The sequence below is a fragment of the Homo sapiens genome, chromosome 5, assembly GCF_000001405.40.
Source record: "Homo sapiens chromosome 5, GRCh38.p14 Primary Assembly".
NCBI classification, from domain to species: domain Eukaryota; kingdom Metazoa; phylum Chordata; class Mammalia; order Primates; family Hominidae; genus Homo; species Homo sapiens.
Window position 1 is genome coordinate 86352253 of NC_000005.10, and position 24823 is coordinate 86377075.

At 33.2% G+C, this 24823-nt stretch overlaps 1 long non-coding RNA gene across 1 annotated transcript in view; it reads right to left on the reverse strand.

Annotated features, from left to right (window-relative positions):
- Window positions 1-281: 281 nt before the first annotated feature.
- LOC105379064 (uncharacterized) overlaps window positions 282-24823 on the reverse strand; it is a 77685-nt gene continuing 53143 nt past the window's right edge. The window contains exons 3-4 of the long non-coding RNA XR_948537.3: window positions 6512-6608; window positions 282-3102 (exon numbers count right to left, since the gene is read on the reverse strand). This is a non-coding gene — a long non-coding RNA (uncharacterized LOC105379064). The remainder of the gene's footprint in view (window positions 3103-6511; window positions 6609-24823) is intronic.

Consider the following 24823-nt stretch of genomic DNA (forward strand, 5'->3'; position numbering starts at 1 on the left):
TTTCTTCCTCATGTAAACAGTGTTTCATCAAAATTTTTGGAAAGTCAACATTTTCTAAAACTTTTTAGGTATAAAATATAATTATGAAAGTTTTGACCAAAATAAAAATAAAAAGCCAGTAGGCAACAAATTGGACCATAATTTTCACTGTATTAGATAAGTCAAAACTGTTCAGGACAAAGAAATATAACAGACTCAGAACACTTTGAATATTAACAAAACTTTTTCTTGAACACAATATCTATTGAAATCATATTAAGGAAAGAGAAAATACCACAACATTTAAAAGTGTCAATAATGGTTTAATATAGAGCATGAATGCAAAGGGAATAGACAGCCTGTGCAAACATAAGCTTATCATTTTCTTCATATATCAAACAATACACATTCTGTAGAATAAGTACTTGGTTGATACATACAGGTTAAACATGTGCATAACTACACAATCAAGAAAATCTTACCACTTCTGTCAATACACTCTATGCGAAGCGGCAATAAGATCACACTTAACAATCTCCAGAAGAAAATGAGAGAGAATGAAACACCAAAAGCAATAGGTCAGGAAAGAAGCAGAGTTGTGAGTGGGAGAGGAGGCCATTATGAGTATCAGTAAGTATAACAAAATACATCTGAAATCTATAAGCTGCTCAACACATATATTTGGAATCACAGAAATGAAACTAATTATTTCCCGGGCATTTCAAATACCAAAAAGTATTCTCAAAGCTCCATTTCTCCCCTTTGCCTTGGTACAAAGTGTCTTTTCTATCCATGTCTTCCTGTAGAAGGTTTCAAGTTTGATTTTTTATATGTATATCAACAGAAGCCTTAAATATTAACTTCAGACCTCAATTATTACTAAATCATAATCAGAGTTTAATGGAATAACCCTTATGAAAAAATAAGGCTTATTCTGCATCGATTATTTCAAAGAAATAAACATGGTAAAGGGAGGCATAGTGTCACCAACTTTGTAAGTGGTGAAAATACACAGACATCTAAGCTGAACAATTAAAGGAAATCCAACAGAGTATTAAAGTTAATAGGGAAGAATCAATAGGAAATGGTGATATGATAGGAATTGAAGTTGACACTTCTAAATCAGATAGATAAAGTGGATATTTTGTTCAGTCGATATACCAGCACGGCTTTGTGTCAGAATTACATGTTGGTTAGATATTTTAATGAATCAAATACTGGTTGAGCTGAAGGCCAGTCATCAACCTGGCATAATATTTAAGGTCCTCACAGTATGTTACAACATTGGTAATATTTATACAAATAGAGAAATAATCTAAGAACAGTTTATCTTGATTATATTGTCACCAGTAAGAAAGAGTTGATTGATGATCAGTCACTACAAAGAAACAAATAGGAGGAAAATGTAGTAGGCTAAGCTGCTAAAAAAGAGTACAAAGAAATATTTTTAAGTATTCAAGTGAAAAAAATCAAACAATTTTAAAAAATAAACTTCAGTCATAAGAACTGTGTAAAACTAAAACATTATGCAATTATAATCAACTCTATTGATTATGTGATTATCCATTTTGCAGATACCAGAACCAAGACTTCCTAGCTGGACTAAGCAATTGATTAAACTCGCTACCTGCCGCCTTCTGCTCTTGCCACCCTCCATACCCAAAGAAGAAAGAAAGGAAACAAACCTTGTGGACTATCCACAGGATAACACAAGAAGGTAGTGCTCAACCACTGCTTCAAAAATCATTTCTTAACCTACATGAATATTGCATAATTTAAACATCTCCATGCATGCAAATCGGTTTTGCTAGATGATAAGCATCCTGAGAAGTTGAGCATCTGCAATTAGCAGCTGTTATCTTTAAATGATTTTACTGAGGTGAAATTCACAACACATAAAACAATCCATTTCAAAGTGAATATTTTTGTCATTTAATATATTCACAATGATATACAATCACCATCTCTATCTCATTCCAGAATATTTCCATCACTCCAAAGTAAAGACTCTTACCCATTTAAGCATCTTCTCCCTATTCCTCCCTCTCTCAAGCTACTGGAAATCACCAATCCGTATTCTGTCTCTTTGAATTTACCTATTCTGGATATTTCCTATAAATAGGGTCATACAATATGTGACCTTTTGCATCTGGCTTCTTTCACTTGGCACAATGTCTTGGAGGTTCATCCATGTTATTCCATATATCAGTAATTTATTCAATTTTATGACTGAATAATATCCCATTGTATGTATATACCACAATTTGTTTATCCATTCATTAGTTGAGAAAAATTTGGGTTGTTTTCACCTGTTGGCCATTTTGAATAGTGCTGCTATAAAATGTGTGACCATGTACCTTTCTGAGTATCTGTTTTTAATTCTTTTGGGTACATATCTAGGAGTGGAATTGAAGGGTCATGTGGGATTTCTGTTTTTAACTTTTTGAGAAACCATTGAATTGTTTTTCATAGCAACTGAATAATTTTACATTCCCACCAGCATTATACAACGGCTTTAATTTTTTCACATCCTTGCCAACACTGTGTGCATGTGTGTGTGTCTGTGTGTTTACAACCTAATGTGTATGAAGTCATCCCTCACTGTGGTTTTGCTATGCATTTCCCTAATGACTACTGATATGAGCATCTTTTTAAGTGTTTGATAGTCATTTGTATAGTTTCTGCGGTGAAATTTCTATTCAAGTCTTTTACCCTCTTTTTAATTAGGTGGTTTGTCTTTTGTTGAACTGTGTTCTTTATATAGTATGAATATTAGACTTTTATCAGAGATATGATTCACAAATATTTTCTCCTCCATTCTAGATTGTCATTTTACTTCTTTGATAACATTTTTGGTACATACAAGCTTTTAATTTTGATGAAATCCAATTTATCCATATTTATGTTATTGATATCATAACTAAGAATTCGTTGCCAAATCCAGGGTTATGAAGATTTACCCCATGATTTCTTCCAAAAGTGTTAATATTCATGCTTATATTTATGTTTTCAGTCCATTTGGGGTTAATTTTTATATATGGCATAAGGTAGAGATTCAACTTATTTTGCATTTGAAAATCCAGTTGAAATTACATATGAGCTTGAGAATTGGCATTTCCATTTCTGCAAAAAGAAAAAAAGACTATTGGCATCATAATAAGGATAGCATTCTGCATTGAAACTGTAAATCACTTTGGGTAGTATTCATATCTCAACATTACTTTTACCCTTCTATGAACACAGACGTCTTTCCTTTTGTTTGTCTTATTTAATTTCTTTCACCAATAGCTTTCAATATATTAGCTAATTTAATTTCTAGTTATTCTTATTCTTTGGAATGTTACTATAAATGAAATTGTTTTTGTAATTTTATTTTTAGATTACTTGTTCCTGCTATATAGAAACAAAACTGATGTTTTCTGTGTTGCTTTTGTAATCTCTAACTTTGCCAAATTTGATTATTTGCTCCAGAATCTTGTGTGCGGGTATGCACACTCACAAACGTGTGCCTATTCTTCAAGATTTTCTATATATATGATCATACCTGCAAACAAACAATTTTACTTCTTCCTAATTTGGATACATTTTATTTCTTTTTCTTGCCTAGTTGTTCTGGTTAGAACTTACAGTACAATGTTGAATAGCCATGGTCAGGATGGGCATCCTTATCTTGTTCCTGATACAGTCTTTCACTATCGAGAATAATGTTAGCTATAGGCTTTTCATAAATGTCTGTGTTTAAGCTTTTATAGGAACAAATATAACAGCTTGCAAATAAAAAGATGCCTGTGTTCAAGCTTGAAAACTCTCTAACAGTTTAAGCTGTTACAACAAATTACCATAGACTGGAAGGCTTATAAACAACAAAAATTTATTTCTCACACTTCTGAGGGCTGGGAAGTCCAAGATAAAGGTGCTAGCAGATTTGGTGTCTGGTGAGCTGTTTCCTGATTCAAGGATAGCCATCTTCTCCCTATGTTCTCACGTGGTTGAAAGGGCAAGGGAACTCTCCTCCAGGGTCTCTTATAATAAAGACACTGATGTCCTTCATGAGGGATCTGTCGTCATGACCTAATTAATCTCTACCAAAATCCCACCTCCTAATCACATTGGGAATTAGAATTTCAATATATAAATTTTGGGGGACAAGTATTCAGCCAATAGCAACGTCTTTCATCATGTTATGGAAGTTCCTTCTATTTCTTTTTCTTTTCTTTTCTTTTAAGACAGGGTCTCAGTCTGTCACCCAGACTGGAGTACAGTGGTGCAATTATAGCTCATTGTTACCTCGAACTCCTGGCCTCTGGCCTCAAGTGATCCTCCCACTTCAGCTTCCTGAGTAGCTAGGACTACAGGTGTATGTCCCTATGACTGGTATGTGTGTATATATATATATATATGATATATATAGTATATACAGGGTCTTGCTATGTTTCCCAGGCTAGTCTTGAGCTGCTGACCTGAAGCAATCCTCCTGCTCAGTCTTTCTAAGTACTGAGATTATAGTCATGAGCCACTGCATCCAACCACCTAATTTTTCATGAGCTTTTTTCTTTATCATAATAGGATGTTGGACTTTGTCAAATTATTTTAGAAGATGTTATTTTTGAGAAATTATATATTTTTTAAAAAAACATTGACTAAGAAAAACTATCTGAAAAGCTATAATGATAATCTAGTTCTTGTAACTTAAAAAAATGTATGTGTAGAGAATTGCATGGCAATCATGAGCCAGTAAGCTCAAACTCTGAGAAGATAATAGAATAAATCATCTAATAATCAATTTGTAATTATCTAGCAGAATATAAGTTAGTAGATAGCAAATTATATGAATTTAGGAAGTACAAATAAAATCTGAACAAATTTAATTTTTTCTATGAGACAGGAAAAAGTTATATAAAGAGGCTAGATTAGTTAATATTAGATAATCTTGTGTTTGAGTAATGCTGTTTTTTTTTTTAGTTCATAGAATTGCCATTTATAAGCCAGAACCAAATAGCATTAGTTTAGAAGAGATTTCTACTGAAGGCAATATCAAATTTTAAGTGTCATTGGTACATAAGAGAAACTCAGCATGTTTGTACATATTAAAGGAGATGTAAATAATTTCCATTTTGGGTAGTTACAAATAAAGCTGATGTAAACATTTCTGTACAAATTTTTATATGATGATGTTTTTCTTTCTCTTGAGTAAATATCTGATGTATTGGTTTTCCTTTGCCACTACAGCAAATTACAACAAATTTGTGGTGTTAAACAACACCTATTTATTATCTCATTATTTTATAAGTGCAAATTTTACGCACGGAGTCTCTCAACTGACTTGTCTGCTTAGAATCTCAGAAGGTTGAAATCAAGGTGTCAGCAGAACTGCACTGCTCACAAGACTATGGAATATTTGTTGTCAAACACATTCAGGATGTTGGCAGAAATCAGTCCACTCTCCCTCTTTTCATGCAGTCCCCTCCATTTTCAAACTAGCAAGGTTCATTGAGTCCTCATGCTTTGAGTCTACCTAATTTTCTCTTCCTTCAGCCACAATAAAGCTCCACATGTAACAGATCATATGATTATATTGCTCTCCTGAATAGTTTAGAATTATCTCCCTATTTTAAATAAATTGATTAGTAAAACTTAGTTAGATCTGCAAGGTCCAATTTACCACATAAAGTAACATTCCAGAGTGTAATACCAGAAGATAAAGTTTATGGGGGCCAAAATTCTGTCTACATGACTTGGGCCATGATAATTGCATGTGTAACTTACTGAAAAACAAAAACAAAAAACAGAGAACACTGGATAGCTGTTGTCTGTCTTGCACAGTTTTTGCCAAGCGATCTGCTGTAATTAATTTTTGCTCCTTTACAACTAGTGTGTCTTTTTTTTATTGTCTTCACAATTTTTCTCTTAATTTCTGCTTTGTACTAAATGTTTTCTATTAACTGTCACCACTACCTTATCAGTTTGAGTATAATGTGTCTGCATGTATGTTTTCTTTTTTAAAAAACTATTTTCTGTTTGTTTTGGCTTGGTTTGCTTTTCATTCTGTGTGAAGTTCTCTTAGCTGGAATTTTGCATTTCATGTCCCTTTCATTATTTTAGAAATCCTCAGCCATGGTCTTTTCAAATATCTTTTATCTTCTTGTTTCTCTCTCTTCTTCCTGTAATTCCACTTAGGCACATGTTCACATTTCATATTATTCTGCATCTCCTGATGGTCTACTCTGTCTTCTTTTTTTTTTCCTCTTCTCTTTCTGTTTTAATTTATATAATTCTTATTGACCTATATACAATTTTATCAATTATTTCCTTGGTTCTGTTGAATTTAATCATGAGCCCCTCAACATCACACTTTATCTCTCTTACTATGTTTTTACTTTAATTCTAGAATGTTACTCATTGTTTTTTCTTTTTTTTTTTTTTTTTTTTTTGTCTTGGCTGAAATACCCATCAGTCTCTTAAGGCATTTTGTCTTTTCTTTTAGGGGCTTAAAAATATTACTCAGAAAGCATTTTTTAATTCCTTAACTTACAGTTTCAATATCTGGGTCATCTCTGAATCTTCTGTTGAATGCTTTGTTTCTTGTATGTTTGGCTTTTCTTCTGTCTTGTGTACCACATAATTTTTCACTGTATGTCAGACATAGTACATAGAACAACAGAGACAAAGGAAAGAAGTATTTGTGATGAAATGGGCATACCTTTTTCTCTACTATGACTTTAATCTGGGAGGTGAGTTATTGCCAGGAAGTATGCATTATTTGGGTATTGTTTTGCCATAGATACTTATAGTGAATCATCAGCTCTAAATTCCCCCAGTAGTACTTTGTATTTAGGGTTTTGGTTGAATTATCAGGGAGCTTCCCTTTATGGTCCAGCTCCACTCGCAGCTTTATCCCTTCACTGTGCTTTTGCATCTCATGGAGAGTGTCTCTCCATGTGCATTATCTTACCCCACTGATTACTTATTTCTTGTTACTTACCCTCACTGGCATAGTAGTGGAAGGTAAGTAACTTATCTCTTTTTCCGATTCAGCCTCATTTTTATGTAGGGCCTTCATCCCTGGTACTCAGGTATGGGATTTTCTCAGTTACTCTAATTTTCCTCCTGTGATAGATTTATAATGGTCCTAACCCATCTCTTAGTGACTTACTTCTGTTATTTATGAAATGTTGGATTGGGTATATCTCTGTGGGTTTTTTTGTTTTGTTTTTTGTTTTATTTTGTTTTTTCCTGTGGTAGCTTCCCTTCTCCAAGGCTTATCTACTAAAAAATGCTCTCCTGGCCACCCTCAGTATTTCTCATGCCCACTCAGGAAGGTTGTAAAGTTGAGCTTGCCATGTATGCTGCTCTCAGTGTTCCATACTTGCATGTGAGACTCCACTCAGATGTTAGCAATGTGTTAAAATTGTAGCGGACTTGTTTTTATCTGTTTTTAGGCTTGCCTTGTCTACTCCTGCCTACTAACATGGGTGTTAGTACTTGTGCCCTATCTTTCTTTAAATTTCATGCTGGCTTTTTCTGTGACTTCAACTCTTTGGATTCAAGAAAAAATAATTTTATATATTACCTAGTTTTCTCTCATTGCTATGGTGGGAATAACACTCTTCAGTTTTCTATGTATTTAGAAGAGGCCTAAAGCCAATTATTGTGTATATACACATACATATATATATATAAAATGAATGATCATATGATCATATGTTTGGATAAATAGGTCCTTGAAAACAAGGACTGTGTTTTTATTTACATTCTTTTTGTATACATTGTCTTTGTCCAGAGAGTACCACATCTCAAGACCACAAGATGGCTTCCAGAGGCAATGGGGAATCAAGCTTCATTACCATATTTTACAGGAAAGATGTTCCATAATGTCATCTCTAGACTAAGCAAATTCAACGTAAATAAAAGGTGAGAAATTTCATTCCAGTAGAGATACGAGGCAAAAAAATCAATATCAAGATGATCTGAAGATTATTGAAAATGTCAGGGAAGTGAAATGCCTTTTCCAAAATTAGGTTTCTTTGCAAAAGAAAAAGTCTAATATGATATAAACCAAAATATTAAATAATTTGACTCTATAGGTTGGAATCTTAAGGAATTATGCTTTTATAGTAATTCTACAAGTGAATTATTACTTCTAAATTTCAAAAATGAAGAGAAAGGCAGTTTCAATGGACTAAAATAAGTTATTTCTTTTTTAAGAAAAGGAAAAAGTTTAACAGATGTCTAACCTAAATATTCTAACCAATAAAAAGTTGGTCTTATTTTAGTTTCTTTGTTTGGGTTTCTTTGTTTTGTTTTGTTTTGTTTTGGCCTCTTTCATTCACAGGGTTTGCCTGAGATATATCAGCAAATATCCTAGCCTGTGCTATTGACCTTGGGTAACACTCACTCACTCACAAATGTATATATTTACTTCCCATCTTTTAATAGACAATCTATATTTATGCTCTGGCACAACTTTATTTTTTTGGATCTTCAACCCAGAAATGTTCATCTTTGTTTTTGCATGTAATCTTCTGCATGCACTCCCTATACCTGTTGATTTTTTACTTCATCCAAGCCTACTGACTGTAAATATTGGCATTATCCCTTATTTCTTCTTTGTCTTGACTTTTATAATCAATCCCTTATCATGTTCTGCAAATTCTATCTCTAGAAGGGTCCGTATTTCCAAGCCCCATTTTCTACCCACTACAACTTTCTCCTTTCATCATTCCTACCTGAATCATTGCAGTTTCAGCCCCACTGACCTTATCATTTTTCAAAATTACTCATCACAGAGGATCTCTGTCATTTTTCAAAATTACTCATCACAGATCTCTTTACAAAATAAGTGAACTCATAGCATTCTATATTTTAACAAATGCAATAATGTCTCATATCTTGCAGAATTAAGTGGGGCTCTAATGTATATAGTCTTTCCTAGACTCTCATTATTTTATTTGTCTGCAAGTCTTAGATTGGGTTATATTATTCACAGACTGAATGTTTCATGAAGACTACCTTGAGCTAAACCCTAACCTCGAAAGATCTGAGCTAAATGCTCTTCCTAGCATTCCCAGCCTTTATGGTTACCAGGAGAGTCAACTCTGACTTCATTTCTGCAAACACTTCTTGAGTGTTTAAAATATGCCAGATGTTGTACTAAATATTTTATGTTTTTGTCATTAATTCCCACAATTGACCTATGAGATATTAACTACCGTTTTCTTAATTTGATTGCTGAAATACTTATTCACAGAGAGATTAAATGGCCTATATTCACATAGCTAGGAGATGGTAGAGCCAGTACTAACATCCAGGCTGACTCCAGGATACAGGCTCCTCATCACAAAAATACCCTCTAATTTTATTGATCACTCGAGTGCCAGAGCAAATATTTAATACTTCTAAATATTATTTATTCCTCTATGGTTTAATTTGAAATGTCTAATTTTTCTTCTTAATGGTTTGCAAGTTTTGAAACAAGAATTTTTATTCTATTACTTAAGTCTGTAATTCTTAGCAGTACATTGTACATAGTTGGTATTAAATACATGTTGGGTGAGTCAATCATTTTATTCTTACAGAATCTCCTAATCTTAATTAATGTTAGAGTTAGCTGATGAGTTAATCCTAGTGATTCTTATCATGCCACTAGTTTGCTCAAAAACTTTCACTGAATCTATACTTCTTTTATATAAAAGCCCCAATTTCTCACACTAGCCTTGGGTAATTCCATGGTCTACAGCTAACATTCCTTTCAAATGTCATATTACACTACCTTTCTTTACAAAGACTCTGCTCATCCAAAACTTGCTGTTTTCCTTATATACTTACTTTTTTCCATCTTTTTGCTTTGGCTCAACAGGTTCCTTACATCTAAAAGGCGTTTCTTTTTCTCACCTTCAAATGATCAAATTCAAAATTCGAGTTTTCTGTTTTACTCATGTCAGCCATCTAAACAGCTATGTTATCTGCACCATTTCAGTGATCCAATGTCTAATTTATCATTGTTTCTCCAATGTGATATATGTCAATACCTTGCAAGTAACAGGATATTCAATAAATGGTAAATAAGACAGTGAGAGGGGATAAAATCTTAGTATAAATTGTACATATCCCAAACTTAAGCAACATGACATAACTTTTATAAATGCTTTAAATGAGATAGTAAAATATATCATTAAAATAGAGATAATAGTCTTTTGAGGAAAATTAAATGGACTTGGATTAAACCTAGAGAATACTGTAACTCTAATATGCTTTATTGCATAAATTATAAGTAATTTTACAACACAATGAATTGAAAAGAAAAGAGCATTAACAAATTATGTCTTTAGACCAGAGATTAGAATGGAGAAAGATTTTATTCCAGTAAGGATTGAAATAATTATTTTGTGGGAGTATATACAAACTCCATTGCTACTCTTATAAATATTTCTGATTAGAGAGAAGAGTCTTTCTAGATATGTAGAAGGATATGCTGTTTTTCGACAGCGTATAGTGTAAAACAAACACAGGATAATATAAAATCAGAATTGAGTTCACTTAAACTACAAATCAGACTTCTATTTCAAAAGTTAATGAGAAACTATATAGAAGAATTATATAGGTGTATTGGGGGAAAACCAATTAGTTTACTGTGCTAGATGGATTGTTGGATTTGAATTAGGGAAATAAGTTAAATATGAAAAGCAAATGCTATTACTCTCTTTAAGATATTCTAAGTTTAATCTTACAATTCTAAACTTTGTACTAGTAACTTGACTTTGTAGGCAATTCTATGCAAAGAGGTAAATTTCAGAGGTCAGTTTTGGCTTATATTTCTAAACTGATGCATTGCTTTTTTTGCTTTCCAGTGATTTAAGAAGGAAAGAGAAAAGATTATACTCATTTATCTTCCTAACAATATCTGCCTTCCACACCATACTCTGCATCTCTAAGTTTAATTTTTCAAATAGCAAATAATTCAGTAGAGAAACGGCCTTTCTAAGGGAATATTTTTGTGGCAAGATAATTTTTGAAATATCCATTTATGACTTCTTTTTATATGTTAGCTATTTCTTTTCTAGTAGGCTCTGCTCTGCTTGCCTTGTGAAAGATTTGTGGTGGGTCTTCCAGGCTTTTGTTTCTGAACAAGATTTACTGAGACCTATTGAGGAGAACATATTTTTAAGGTAACAGAAGATCCAGTGAGAATAGGAAAATGGGAGAATAATGATTTATGCAAAGTATTTTCTCAAATATCAGAATAAAATAATCACCCCTATTCAAAGCCATACCTCAGGCTTTAGAAGATAGAGAAAAGGGGACAGCTGGGGTCATCCTCAAAGACAGACCATATACTGAATGGTATGTGTAGCTAGAATAATAATAGAGAAATGTCCTATCAAAGCCAACCTTGAGAAACATTGCTCCAGAACCATGGAATTTCATGCAAAATAAGGCATTATTTGAAAACATAATTATATTCTTCTATTGACTGAGCTGAGGTGTGTGTGTGTGTGTTTAAAGGTGAATTTACCTTCATCAGCAGCCATTTATCTACTGACTCTTATCCTCCATTGGCTGAGGATATCTCAACTGGCATTAATATCCTCCTATATATTTAATTGTATACATAGAATTATCCAGCTGCCATCCTCAAAAGTAACATCAAAAAAATATCAGAACAGGAAACAAGGTACTTTCAGAGAACACAAGTGTAGATGAATTGTTACCACCAAAGAGTAGGGAGTAGGGAGGGGAAGCCTGCATGCAATTACCCTTTATACATGTGTCTGAAGCCAGAAATAAAGCCAAGGGAACAAGGATGTTAATACAACCAAATTGGCAGTTCAAAAGGGTTCTGGCAGCAGTGTGGAAGGTGGGTTAGAAATTTTATTGCATGTTGTCAGACAAAATTGCCAAGATATGATGAGCTCAAAATTAAAAGTATGACAGCAGGAAAGAGATACACAGATGAATTGGAACAATTTTATGGAGATGTATAAGACAGCCCTGAGAAACAAATAGAAATGAGTAACAAGAGTTTACAGCAGGTTTTTAAGAATCTGGTAGATAGTTGAGATGTTCTCTGACATGAAAAGGGTAGAGCACTTTGCAAAAAGTTTGTAAATTTCATATTGGACATGTTATTCTGAGAAATCTGTGAGAAGTACAAATTTAAGCTTTCAGAGTTAAAGAGAGCGTTCTCAGCTGGACATAGTAACATTTTAGATTTTTTTTTAATTTTTGAGAAAGGAATGTTTTAGTATAAATAATTATCAGGAATTACAATTAAAGAAGTACAAATGGTCATAAATTGTATTGAAACTGTATGTTTAGTGAATTAAGTCACTGAAGAAATAATTAAATTGTACAATATCTGAAAAATGAGAAGCTTGTGCAGAAAAGCAGGATGTATAAAGATATTTTCTTATGTTGGCACACAGTTTTAAATTTCCAGACAACTTGGGAAATATATCCTTATTTAATATCCAAATCAGCTTATTAAAGGCACTTTGGGAGATATTATTTTTATTTGGAGGATAGAGAAACTGGTGGCCAGAGAAAGCAAAATGTCTCTCTACAGTTAATAACCAGAGTTAATTACATAGATGTGGTGTCATTCTCACACCATCACTCCATCCATTATGCTCTATTTTTTTTCAGGAAATTATAGATAATATCATAGTTACTCAGTAATTAGTTCTTCCCTACACATTATAAATGTTATTTTTAAAAGCCCCAAATTTTTTTATCTGGATTCCAGGGTCGATCATTTGAATCTAGCAATAACAAACTACCACAAACAGGATGGTTAAACACAGCAGAAATGTTTTTGTCTTAAAGTCCTAGAGATATCTGAAATCAAGAGATCTTCAGTCCTAAACATATCTGAAATCAAGAAGTTAGTAGAGCCATGCACCCTCTGAAACTTGTAAAGGAATCCTTTCTTTACTCTTCCTAGGTTCTTGTGATTTGCCAGCAATCTTTGGCATTACTTGGTTTGTAGAAGCATATATAGCTCCAATCTCTGCCTTGGTTGTATGCAGTGTTCACTCTGTGTAATTCTGTTTTCATATAGCCTTCTTCTTATAGAGACACAAGTCATATTGGATTAGGAGCACACCCTACTCCAATAGGACCTCATCTTAATGTAATGAATTACACCTCCAACTACCTTATTTCCAAATAAGGTTGCATCCCGGGTGATTGAAATTAGGAATTTGATGTATCTTTTTTTTATAACAACAAAACTCAACCCATAGCACCAACCATATCTAAGTATATTAGTAAATATTGTGTACCTCTAAGTTTAATCAAACAAATGTATTTTAAATATTGGAAGACACGTCTAGAAAATTCAGAGATAAAACTTTTGTATAAATTACATTAACATAACCCCCCCAGAATTTTATAATACTTAATTGACAAAAACAAAAGAATGACTTATCTTCTTACATTCTAATTTATATAATTAATATTTTTATTTTCCATGGTATAAAACAGCATGCTTTAGTTTTAGTTTACTTTCTATAATTTTAAAATAATTTCATGATAAAGACATAAAAAGATCATTTTCACTATGTTGATTTAAAAAGGATAATGTAATTTGCATTTTGTTTTATAAACAAAAAAATTACCATGAGAAAATATTATGTATATATAAACTAAATAACTTAATTAACAGTTTTAAATATATATTTTAAACAAATAACATATTTGCTATTTATACAAACATGTCTTTTTTAATGAGATGATTAATTCATGTAAATTCATATTATATGCATAAAACCATCAAAATAATACTGACTTTAGTCTTTACTTGATTAAGGACTAAATTTAATGTAACTCTTTGTAGACTGACATAGAACATATATTCAAAATATTTTGTAACTAAAGACATAGTCATACTGTTACTAAAAGTTCATTCAAAACATTCAAAATTTTTTACTGCATTTACCATGCCATTGAGAAAAGTAGATGTTTACTCTGCTACCAAGGAAAATGGTTTGAGGTAACTACATCAGAACACAGAACAAACTAAAAATTTAATAAATCTTACATTCTATTTCTCTCCAAAATACATCAGGTACATGTTTACTCAACAAAAGCAATCCAAATTAATGAGGTAATTGGAAATTCAGCAGTTAGAAATCCATATTTTTTCTCCTTTTTCATTGTAAGTGTAAAATAAATGAGGTCTATATCACTGCTTATAAATCACAGTTACTTTAAATAATGACTATTCATGTGCCTAATGTATAGGAATTATAGTAGGAAAATATTCATTTTTATAAATTTTTTTCATTCAACACTATGATATGCCAATTACTGTTACTAAACGCAAGCAACACACATAACACAGTTAAAAGAGAAATCAGCAACTCAATGAATGTCAAAGGTACTATGAACAAACACAATTTTCAACTAATTTTAATTATGTTGGCGAATTCTGCTCAAGTGCTAGGTATGTGGAGTCAGTTGACCTTTGATGCCCAATCCTTAACTATTGGGAAATGACACTAGGAGAGCTCTTGTCACTTCCCTTATGCAAATTAAAGAATAAGCAAGGAGCTATGCTATCTATTCTCCTCTGTGAACTATTGTTTAAGGGTTGTAGAGCCAAAGATATAGTTGCTGGCTTTTAAAAATTAGTACTTTGAGAAAATAAGATGAATGAAATCAAGTCAAGTTTTCCTTTCATCAATTATAGATTAAATAATTTTTGTGTGATGATCTAAAATTCTACCAATTATAAATATAGTGGAAACATGGTGAAATAGGTAAAAGCTAGAAATGCATGGGTTCACAGGTAGGCTCAATAGTCTTTCATTTAGATTTTCTTCTGTGAGCCATTTAACTTCTCAGTCTTCATTACCTCATCTTGCAAATAGGGAAAATAATTGTAACTTCCTCGTAGGTCTATTGTTAAAACTAAATAAGACAATCCATGTAAAGCAACTGACAGACAATAACTGCTGCATACATTTTAGCTGTAATAATCATAATGTAGTGGTTCTATACAACTGTTTCTATGAGAAAATATTAATACCTAGAAAATGCTCAGAAGACAATTCTTTCAAATTCTCAAACTGTGTACTTTTTTATAACAATTATTAATTATCATTATATAAATACATTATTACTCTTAACACATTTCTAGCTTATACCTCTACCCTCCAATTAATAATTGTGGCTCCACTATGATCCCAAGTGACCAGACAGATATAAAAATGGTCAGTATGCTTAACATAATCTAGGAAAATGTCACTTTTAGTCCCAACTTACAATATGTACAGAGGCAATTTTAGGCCAAACTTAATTCAATTTAACAGAATAAAATATATAGAATGTTTCAGAGGATTTAAGAGGTTAGATAATGGAATGCAAGGGAGGTGAGGCTGCTGGAAGAAATGTGGGACTCCAGAAAAAAATGAGATATTTAGATGGAGGATGAGGTTATATGATAGGGTATACAAAATAATTTTCCTTTTCTGACTACACACAAAAGTTGTCAGAAGCCTGATTATTGCTTTTTCAATATGATAAAATGCTAGGTTCTACTTCAAAGTGTCTCCTGAGTGACAGCATGAGCTGCTCATGAGGATCTGGTTAGATCCACAACATAAAAAAGTGTTGTTGTTTCTCATAATTGTTTGTAATTCACTATACTGAGGGAGGATGGTGAGGTGGAGGGGAAAAAACATTAAAAACAAAATTAAATTTTATGTTGGTTTTTTAATTCAAGTAAGCAGCTAATTTTAAACAATGAATTCAACTGAATTCAAGTTATGATTTTTATTACACAAATCTGCTCATAATACATATAAGAATTTCTACCGTTAACATCTCTGTTATTGATCACAATAAAAGGCTTGCCTATTAAACTACAGAAGTTTTTATTTAAATTGTCCAAGATATTAAAAGTAAACATGTTTCCTAAATTATAATCAGATTTAACCTTTGTAGCTTACAGGTCATGGAAACTATGTCCTATAAAATCCAATTTAATGGAAAAATCTACTCATAAGAGAAAAAAATTATAATGTTACTTTATGTAGATTCTGTGACTGATACATCTTTAAATCATCTCATATTAAAATATAGGAAAGTTTAAGATTATTTATACTCTTTCAGGAAAAAAAGATAATCCAGTGGATACAAAAAAAGAGTCAAGTTATACATTTTTGGATTATCATTTCCTGCCCACGATTTACTATTACATGAACTTGGGGTGGAAGAGCATGCATGGGTGATAAAGTGGTCGGGAAACAAATGACCTGTGAAGAGGTGAATTCAGTTGAATAGTCTTTGTTAATATATTTTTCTTCCACGGATAATAGCATAAATTGGTCTCTAACAACAGCTCGAGGGCCTTCTGGCAAGGACTAAGTGACCACCCTTCAAGACTTCAGTCTGTCAATCAAATCTTAGGAAAACTTGTCCTTAAGAAAGAGGAGAACTTAAAAAGGAAATAAAAGAAAACTTGAAAAGAAAAAAGAAGAAAGGGGAAAAGTGGAGCTTGAAGGACATTATTGACTCAGTATACAGATCAGTAAAAAGAAATGAAATAGAAAAATATAAAATAAATAAAATAATTTGAAGAGCCAAAAATGAAATAAAGTTCTTGGGCTGATTTTAACCCACTATGCTGAATATTTTATGATTTATATATACTGTGATTTTTATTATCAGGTTGCCTACTACAGGTAGCATTACTGACCAAGAACTCTTGCTGCTACACTTTGAATTTCATCTTTGTGTTTTGCACTGAGAACAGTTATTCTAGACAGACCATTCCTTAGAAACATGAGCCTCTTTTTGGACTGAATTTCACTTAAGAACTGTCCACTGGTGTTGCCAAACCTTTCATATACTGGAAGGCCATCTAAGATGCTTCATCCAACATTTTCTTTCTTTTCCCTTCACTCAGAGTTAGGCTGCATTGCAGTCTGACAGCTTTCCCCAACTTTCCTGGCTACCTACTTATATGCTTTTACTTATACATTTTCCCTTATGTAATCCTTATATGTTTATCCTGTCTTGATATTTTGTATTAGTCCATTCTCACACTGCTATAAAGCCCACAACTGGGTGGTTTATACAGGAAAGAGGTTTAATTAACTCACAGTTCCATGTGGCTTGGGAAGCCTCGGGAAACTTACAATCATGATGGAAGGTAAAGGGGAAGGAAGAACCTTCACACGGTGGCAGGAGAGAGAAGTAACAACAGGGGAAATGCCAGACACTTATAAAACCATCAAATCTCGTGAGAATTCACTCACTATCACAAGAACAGCATAGGGGAAACCATCCCCATAATCCAGCCTCCCTCCAGACCTCTCCCTCAACATCTGGGAATTACAATTCAAGATGAGATTTGGGTGGGGACACAAAGCCTACCTCTATCATATTTGTTTCTCAAAGACTAACACAAATTTGTCTTTCACTTAATTACTATATTATCTATGTATTATTTTAAAATTTGCCATTTCAAATCGGGAATAGGATATGTTAGCATAAATAACATTGTTTTGTGACTGGTCTGTTTTCTGAGTAGAAAGTCAGATACCTTGTCAGTCACAGGTTATTTTCAAATATTTTTTTTCAGCACCTACAACAGTGAGAATACTTCGTTTGAGAGCCTGGACTTTAAAGATAGTATAGCCCATCTCCAGAAAGTTAACCACCTATACCCCAAAACACTTCTCTTAACAATATGAAGAGTTTCATATCAATATCCCTATGCTTTTATCAACAAAAGGAAAAAATATGTGGGGAAAAATTTGTTCTAAAGAGAAAACACTATAAAAAGATTTTTTTATTTCTAGGAAAATTCAATATCTAGAAATAACTAAAAAGTCAAGAAATAATATCTATGATCTCCAATGTAAATAACTCACTTCTTGGCCTCTCAGTCTATATTGTGAGTCAAGAAATATAAATATGAATAATCATAATTATTTAAAAAGTTATATTGGCTGTCTGCTATATTTAAAGCACTGAATAAAAGCAGCCATTTAAAAAATGGCCCAGAATCCTACTCTAAAGAGCTCTCAGTCCAATAGGGGAAACACAAACATATATTATTTTATTATGTTACATTTTATATAAGTTTGTCGTTTATCAAAGTGTTGTGGGAAGACAGAGGCATTAATCATTAATTCAGACATGAAGAGTTAAAGATAGTTTGACAAATAAGTTTATATTTCAGCTAAGCCTTAAAGGAAAAGAAGAGGTTTACTAGGTGGTAAGTAACATTAAAATTCTAAAGCAAATCAAAAAGTTTAATGATAAAAAAGACAGCCTATAAAAATCAACAACTGGATTATAAATTCACTTTATCATAAGAGACTTGGGCAAACTTTTATACATGTTCTATATAAATTATATTAAAAACAAGAAAGAGAATTACTCATAATATATAAAGTTAATATAAATAAATGAGAGGAGCAATTATAAATTATAAAAATAATATATTGACATAATTTAAAGAAAAATGAAGTATGGTAGAATTCTAGGCAGGGCTAGAAATTGTCCAAAAAAATAGTGAATTGAAGACTACACTAAGAAATTAACTTAGAACACATAACAGAAAGTCAAAAAGTTGGTAAATTTATGTGTATATATAATTCATGTCTTATATGTAACAGCAGTTATAAGACAGAAGAAAGGAATAGAGAAAATGTTTTAAAAGAAAGCAAAATTTAAAGAGAATTTTCTCTAAAAAACTGAAGACTTTTTAAATTGAAGAAAGGAATAATAGTATTCTTACATGAAATGTGTATTCTGAGTTTAGTTCAAATAACATAGCACTCACATACACCCCCCCAATCCTGAAAACAATCAGAAAAGGAAATTTTTAAAATAAGAATGAAAAACAAATAAAACAAAACAAAATAAGCCAAACACTGTTCTGAAGATTTGGACAGCTATCAAGGAAGTCAGAGTTCAGAGGCTAAGATACCAGAGAGAAGGGAAACTCATTGAGATGAGCCTACAATTCTAGGCAGCATTTAAAAAGGCAATTAAGGATTCCTAAATAGTGTGCACTGAGAGACAAAGAAGCTGAGCAGTAATGTGACAACCAGCTGCACAGCTCCAGTCTCTTCAAGAGAAAGGGGAAGAAAATTAGAATTTAGAATCCACTAAGAAGGAAGGGCTCTCTCAATCAACTCAGAATTTCTGTTTAGAATTCTGAAAAATTACTCTCTATGACTAAAGTAAATAAGAAATAAGCAGGCAATAAAGAATGAAAGCAAACCTTGAAACAGCACAATTCATGGTTAAATTGAGGTGATGTCGTTTTATTCGGAATGCTCGATAGAAGCTAAGGTAACTACCCATTTGAAGGAAGATAAGAACTTACAGAATTTCTGGAATGTATCAAACACAATGCTCAGCATCATTCAAAAATTGCCAGTAATACCAGAAGACAGCAACAGGAGAGAAAAAAATCAAACGATAGAATAAAACTCTCAGTGATTTAGATATTGAGAGATAGGCCTTTAACATATGAATATGTTCAAGATTTAAAAAGAACTGATTAACATCTTAAAGATAAAAAGATGAAAAAATTAACTCTGTACAAAATCAAATGGAAATACTAGAAGTAAAAATATGTAACTAATATTAAAAACTTAATAAATGAAGAAAAGATTTGTGAGCTAAAATAAATATCAGTAGAAAATATCCAAACTGAAATAAACATGAACAAAAATAAAAAATGTAAAAAAGAGAATAAGGAAAAATTAGGGACTGTTGAAATGTTCTAAAATACTATAATTTAGTTCCAAGATGATGAAATAAAAGGAATGAAGAAGTAATATTTAAAGAAATAATAGACAAGAATTTTCCAAAACTAATAAAATTTTTTTCGTATATTTATGAAGCTCTAGAAAACTCAGTCAAGATAAATGGAAACAAAACTATACCAAGGATCTGAAAACCAAAGACAAAGAGAAAAATCTTAAAAGTAGTCAAAGAGTTTCAAAAAGAGTAATGATAAGATCAAAAGATATAATGAAAGCATATGGATAATTAATCTGACCAAGCCATCTTTCTTTCTTTAACGTGCCATCTTCCAGTATAGGGAGAGAAACTATTAGCACTTTCTTTCCTAACCCACATTCTGACTTTGATACTATTTCCTTTACATACTTTTCAGGTGTGTTTCCATAGTTTCTCTGACATTTTATTTACACACAAAAAAATCTACTACCAGTGCAAAGACCACCAGAATTTGAAACATAGGTAGTAGGTAGTAGGAATTTGCTCTACAAGGCATGTGAATCTTAGCCACACCCACCCCCAGGTCTTTTGATGTTCTCCTTCCAGTTCCATTACCTTTTCCTTCATCACCCATAACACATGTTGATGGGAGGATTTAAGAGATTGTGTGAATTTTTAGCACTTAATTCGTTTCTTTTCCTTACCAACTGGCTTCCATAAGCGTTAATTACATCAATTAAAGTTTCCAAATTAAGTTCCCCCAAAATGTTCTGATTCTAGAGTCATTGTCTCCTATAACACAGATTTTTATTTAATTCTCTCAGTAAATTTAGTAAACGTTGGTTACAGCAAACAGCTGTGGCAACTAGATTAAAGTAATATTTAACTAAGTTAAAATTATAGTAACAAGGGTGGCAGGCGAGAATTCTACCACTGAACCACCAATGCTGGGGCCTGTTGTGAGGTGGGGGGAGGGGGGAGGTATTGCATTAGGAGATATACCTAATGTAAATGACGAGTCAATTGGTGCAGCACACCAATATGGCACATGTATACATATGTAACAAACCTGCACATTGTGCACATGTACCCTAGAACTTGAAGTATAAAAAAAATTGTATGTGAAAAAAAGAAATTAACATATAAAACTTAATAGCATTTCTATAAACCAATAACATTTGGCTCTTATCTGAGAGCCATATCAAGAATGAAATCCTTTTACAATGGTCACCAAAAAATAAAATACCTAGGAATACATCTAATCAACGAGGTGAAAGATCTCTATTAGGAGAACTATAAAAGTTGCTGAAAGAAATCATAGATGACACAAACAAATGGAAAGACATTCCATGCTCATGGACTGGAAGAATCAATATCATTAAAATGTCCATACTTCCCAAAGCAATCTACATTTTCAACGTGATTTCTACCAAACTACCAACGTTATTCTAAAATTCATATGGAACCAAAAATGAGGCTGAATAGCCAAAACAATCCTAAGAAAAAAGAACAAAGTTGGATACATCATATTACCCAACTTTGAACTATGCTATAAGGCTATAGTAACCAAAACAGCATGGTACTGTTACAAAAATAGACACATAAACCAAGGGAACAGAATACAGAACCCTGAAATAAAGCCACACATCTACAGTCGTCTGATTCTTGACAAAGTCAACAAAAGTAAGCAAGGGGGAAAGGTCCTCCTATTCAATAAACGGTGCTGGAAAAATTGGCTAGCCATGTGCAAAAGATTAAAACTGGACCTCTGCCTTTCACCATATACACAAATTAACCCAAGATGGATTAAAGACTTAAATGTAAGACCTCTAATTGTAAAAATCCTAGAAGAAAAGCTAGGAAACACCCTTTTAGACATCAGCCTTGACAAAGAGTTTATGGCCATATCCTCAAAAGCAATTGCAACAAAAACAAAAATTGACAATTGGACCGAATTAAAGAGCTTCTGCAGGGCAAAAGAAAACTAACAACAGAGTGAACAGACAACCTACAAAATGGGAGAAAATATTCACAAACTATGCCTCTGAAAACGGACTAATATCTAGAATCTATAAGGAACTTAAATCAACAAGCAAAAAGCAAATAACCCCATTAAAAAGTGGGCAAAGGACATGAACAGACACTTCTCAAAGGAATGCATACAAGTAGCCAACAAACATGAAAACAAAAATGCTCAACATCACTAATCATCAGGGAAATGCAAATCAAAACCACAATAAAATACTAACTCATACCAGTCAGAATGGCTATTGTTAGAAAGCCAAAAAATAGCAGAAGTTGATGAGGCTGCGGAATAAAGGCAATGCTTATACACTGTATGAATGTAAACTACTTCTGCCACTGTGGAAAACAGTTGGGAGATTTCTCAAAGAACTAAAAATAGAGCTACCATTCAACCCAGCAATCCCATTATTGGGTATATACCAAAAGGAAAATAAATTGTATGACCAAAAAAAAAAAAAATATATATATATATATATATATAGTCACATGCTCCATTCTTATCCAGTAAAAATGATCTTAAGGGTATATAGTCATCCTCCAATTTACATGTTTCATTTAAATCATACTTCTTAAAATTAGATTTGAATTACACCTAATACACACACACACACACACACACACACTCACACACACTAGACATTTGTCTTGACACTGTGAAATCTAGGGGTTGAGGGCCAAGAGCTCTTTCAGTCCTCCAATGTTGTTAAGGTGCTTGCCTTATTCAGAGAAACAGAGCTGTCAGAGTAGCGGACTGGAAATTCTGGCAAGAGGTGATCTCGTAGTCTTAAATCCAAGGATAGTCTGGAGGCAGAATTCCATCCTCTTTGAGAGACTTCAACCTTTTTTCTTAAGGCCTTTAACTGATTGGATTAAGCTCATTCACATTATTGAGGATAATCTGCTTTACAGAAAGTCAACTGATTAAAATGTTAATCATATAAAAAAACCTTCTTATTCCAGTCTATCATTGTTGGACATTTGGCTTGGTTCCAAGTCTTTGCTATTGTGAATAGTGCCGCAATAAACATACATGTGCATGTGTCTTTATAGCAGCATGATTTATAATCCTTTGGGTAAACACCCAGTAATGGAATTGCTGGGTCAAATGGTATTTCTATTTCAAGATCCCTGAGGAATCGCCACACTGACTTCCACAATGGTTGAACTAGTTTACAGTACCACCAACAATGTAAAAGTTTTCCTATTTCTCCACATCCTCCAGCACCTGTTGTTTCCTGACTGATCGCCATTCTAACTGGTGTGAGATGATCACCATTCTAACTGGTGTGAGATGGTATCTCACTGTGGTTTTGATTTGCATTTCTCTGATGGCCAGTGATGATGAGCATTTTTTCATGTGATGTGACACATATACACCATGGAATACTATGCAGCCATAAAAATGATGAGTTCATGTCCTTTGCAGGGACATGGATGAAGGTGGAAACCATCATTCTCAGCAAACTATCGCAAGGACAACAAACCAAACACCTCATGTTCTCACTCATAGGTGGGATTGAACAATGAGAACACATGGACACAGGAAGGGGAACATCACACATCAGGGCCTGTTGTGGGGTGGGGGGAGGGGGGAGGGATAGCATTAGGAGATATACCTAATGTTAAATGAGGAGTTGATGGGTGCAGCACACCAGCATGGCACATGTATACATATGTAAGTAACTTGCACATTGTGCACATGTACCCTAAAACTTAAAGTATAATAATAATAATAAAAACAATTTCACAGCAACATCTAGGCTGATCTTAGACCAAGCAACTGGGCATGAAGCCTAGCCATGCTGACACATAAAATTAACCTCTGAGTGCTACAACTTCTCAGTGGAAATGCAGTTAACTTTCTCTGTGTCTATGCCTTTCTTCAAAAGTTACCAGAATGACTCCACCTTGTTGAGTCTTTTATCATTTTTTCAACATCCCCAGCTTTCTATTTCCCCCTTTGTGCCACTTCTTTTTCTGCATGGTACAAGTGTAGAGTTTTCATAATAAAGCCCTATGTATAACAACTGAGGCAACAGGTAACTCTCTTCTGAATATTCTCTTGGCTTCCTTCAAGCAAGGGTACATAAGGCTTTATGTATAAGCAAACTAGGTTATGCTGGGCTAAAAAGAGCTCCAAATCCTGGCCCAAACAACAACAGAGATTAATATACTTTCAACTCCACTTCTGTTGGTGAACAACCACAGCTCTTTTCCTTATTAATTTCATTCCAGAACTCAGGCTCTCCCTAAAGCAGCAGTCCGCAATATTTTTGGCACCAGGGACCAGGTTTGTGGAAGACATTTTTTCCATGGACTGGGGTAGAGGGTGGGTGTTGGTTTCAGGGTGAAACTGTTCCACCTCAGATCATTTGTCATTAGATTCTCATAAGGAGCATGCAGCCCAGATCCCTGGCATGCAAAGCAGTTCACAACAGGGTTCACGCTCCTATGAGAATCGAATGTCACATTTGATCTAACAGGAGGCAGAGCTCAGGCAGTAAAGCTCACTCACCCATTGCTGACCTCCTGCTATGCAGCCTAGTTCCTAACAGGCTACTGACCATTACCTGTTCATGGTCTGGGAGCATTACAGTTCTTGAGGTAGAGGGAAAAGAGAGATTTTAAATCATATATGATCTCTGCCCTAAAATGACATATGTCACTTCTGTCCACATCTCTTTTGCTGGAAAAATTCTGAGTTAACCAGTGAGTCTTTATAATATTCTATTTGTTTCTGGTAAATTATATGTATTTAAAGCCAAAGATCTTGTCTAGATAAAATCTTTAAGGCTAAAGACTCCATTCTTCTACTAGTCTTTGTATACTGTTCTTCCCCTGGCCCTTAGCTTAATGACCACTGCCTTAAAGCAATTTTAAAAATAGGTCTTTTTGTTGTGGGCTCCTGCTCTTGTTTAGTGGAAAACACTTAAAGAAAAGTATTCTGGGAAATCTTGCCACTCCATTATGCCCTGATAAAATTGCAGCTTCAAAACCACCATAATAACCATTATAATTTATAGTCTTTTTCAACACTAGAAACTGCAAATTGTGGAACTCTCAGTTAATTTTGACTGTGGGTCACAAATTCAGAGTGACTCTTAGGAAAGAA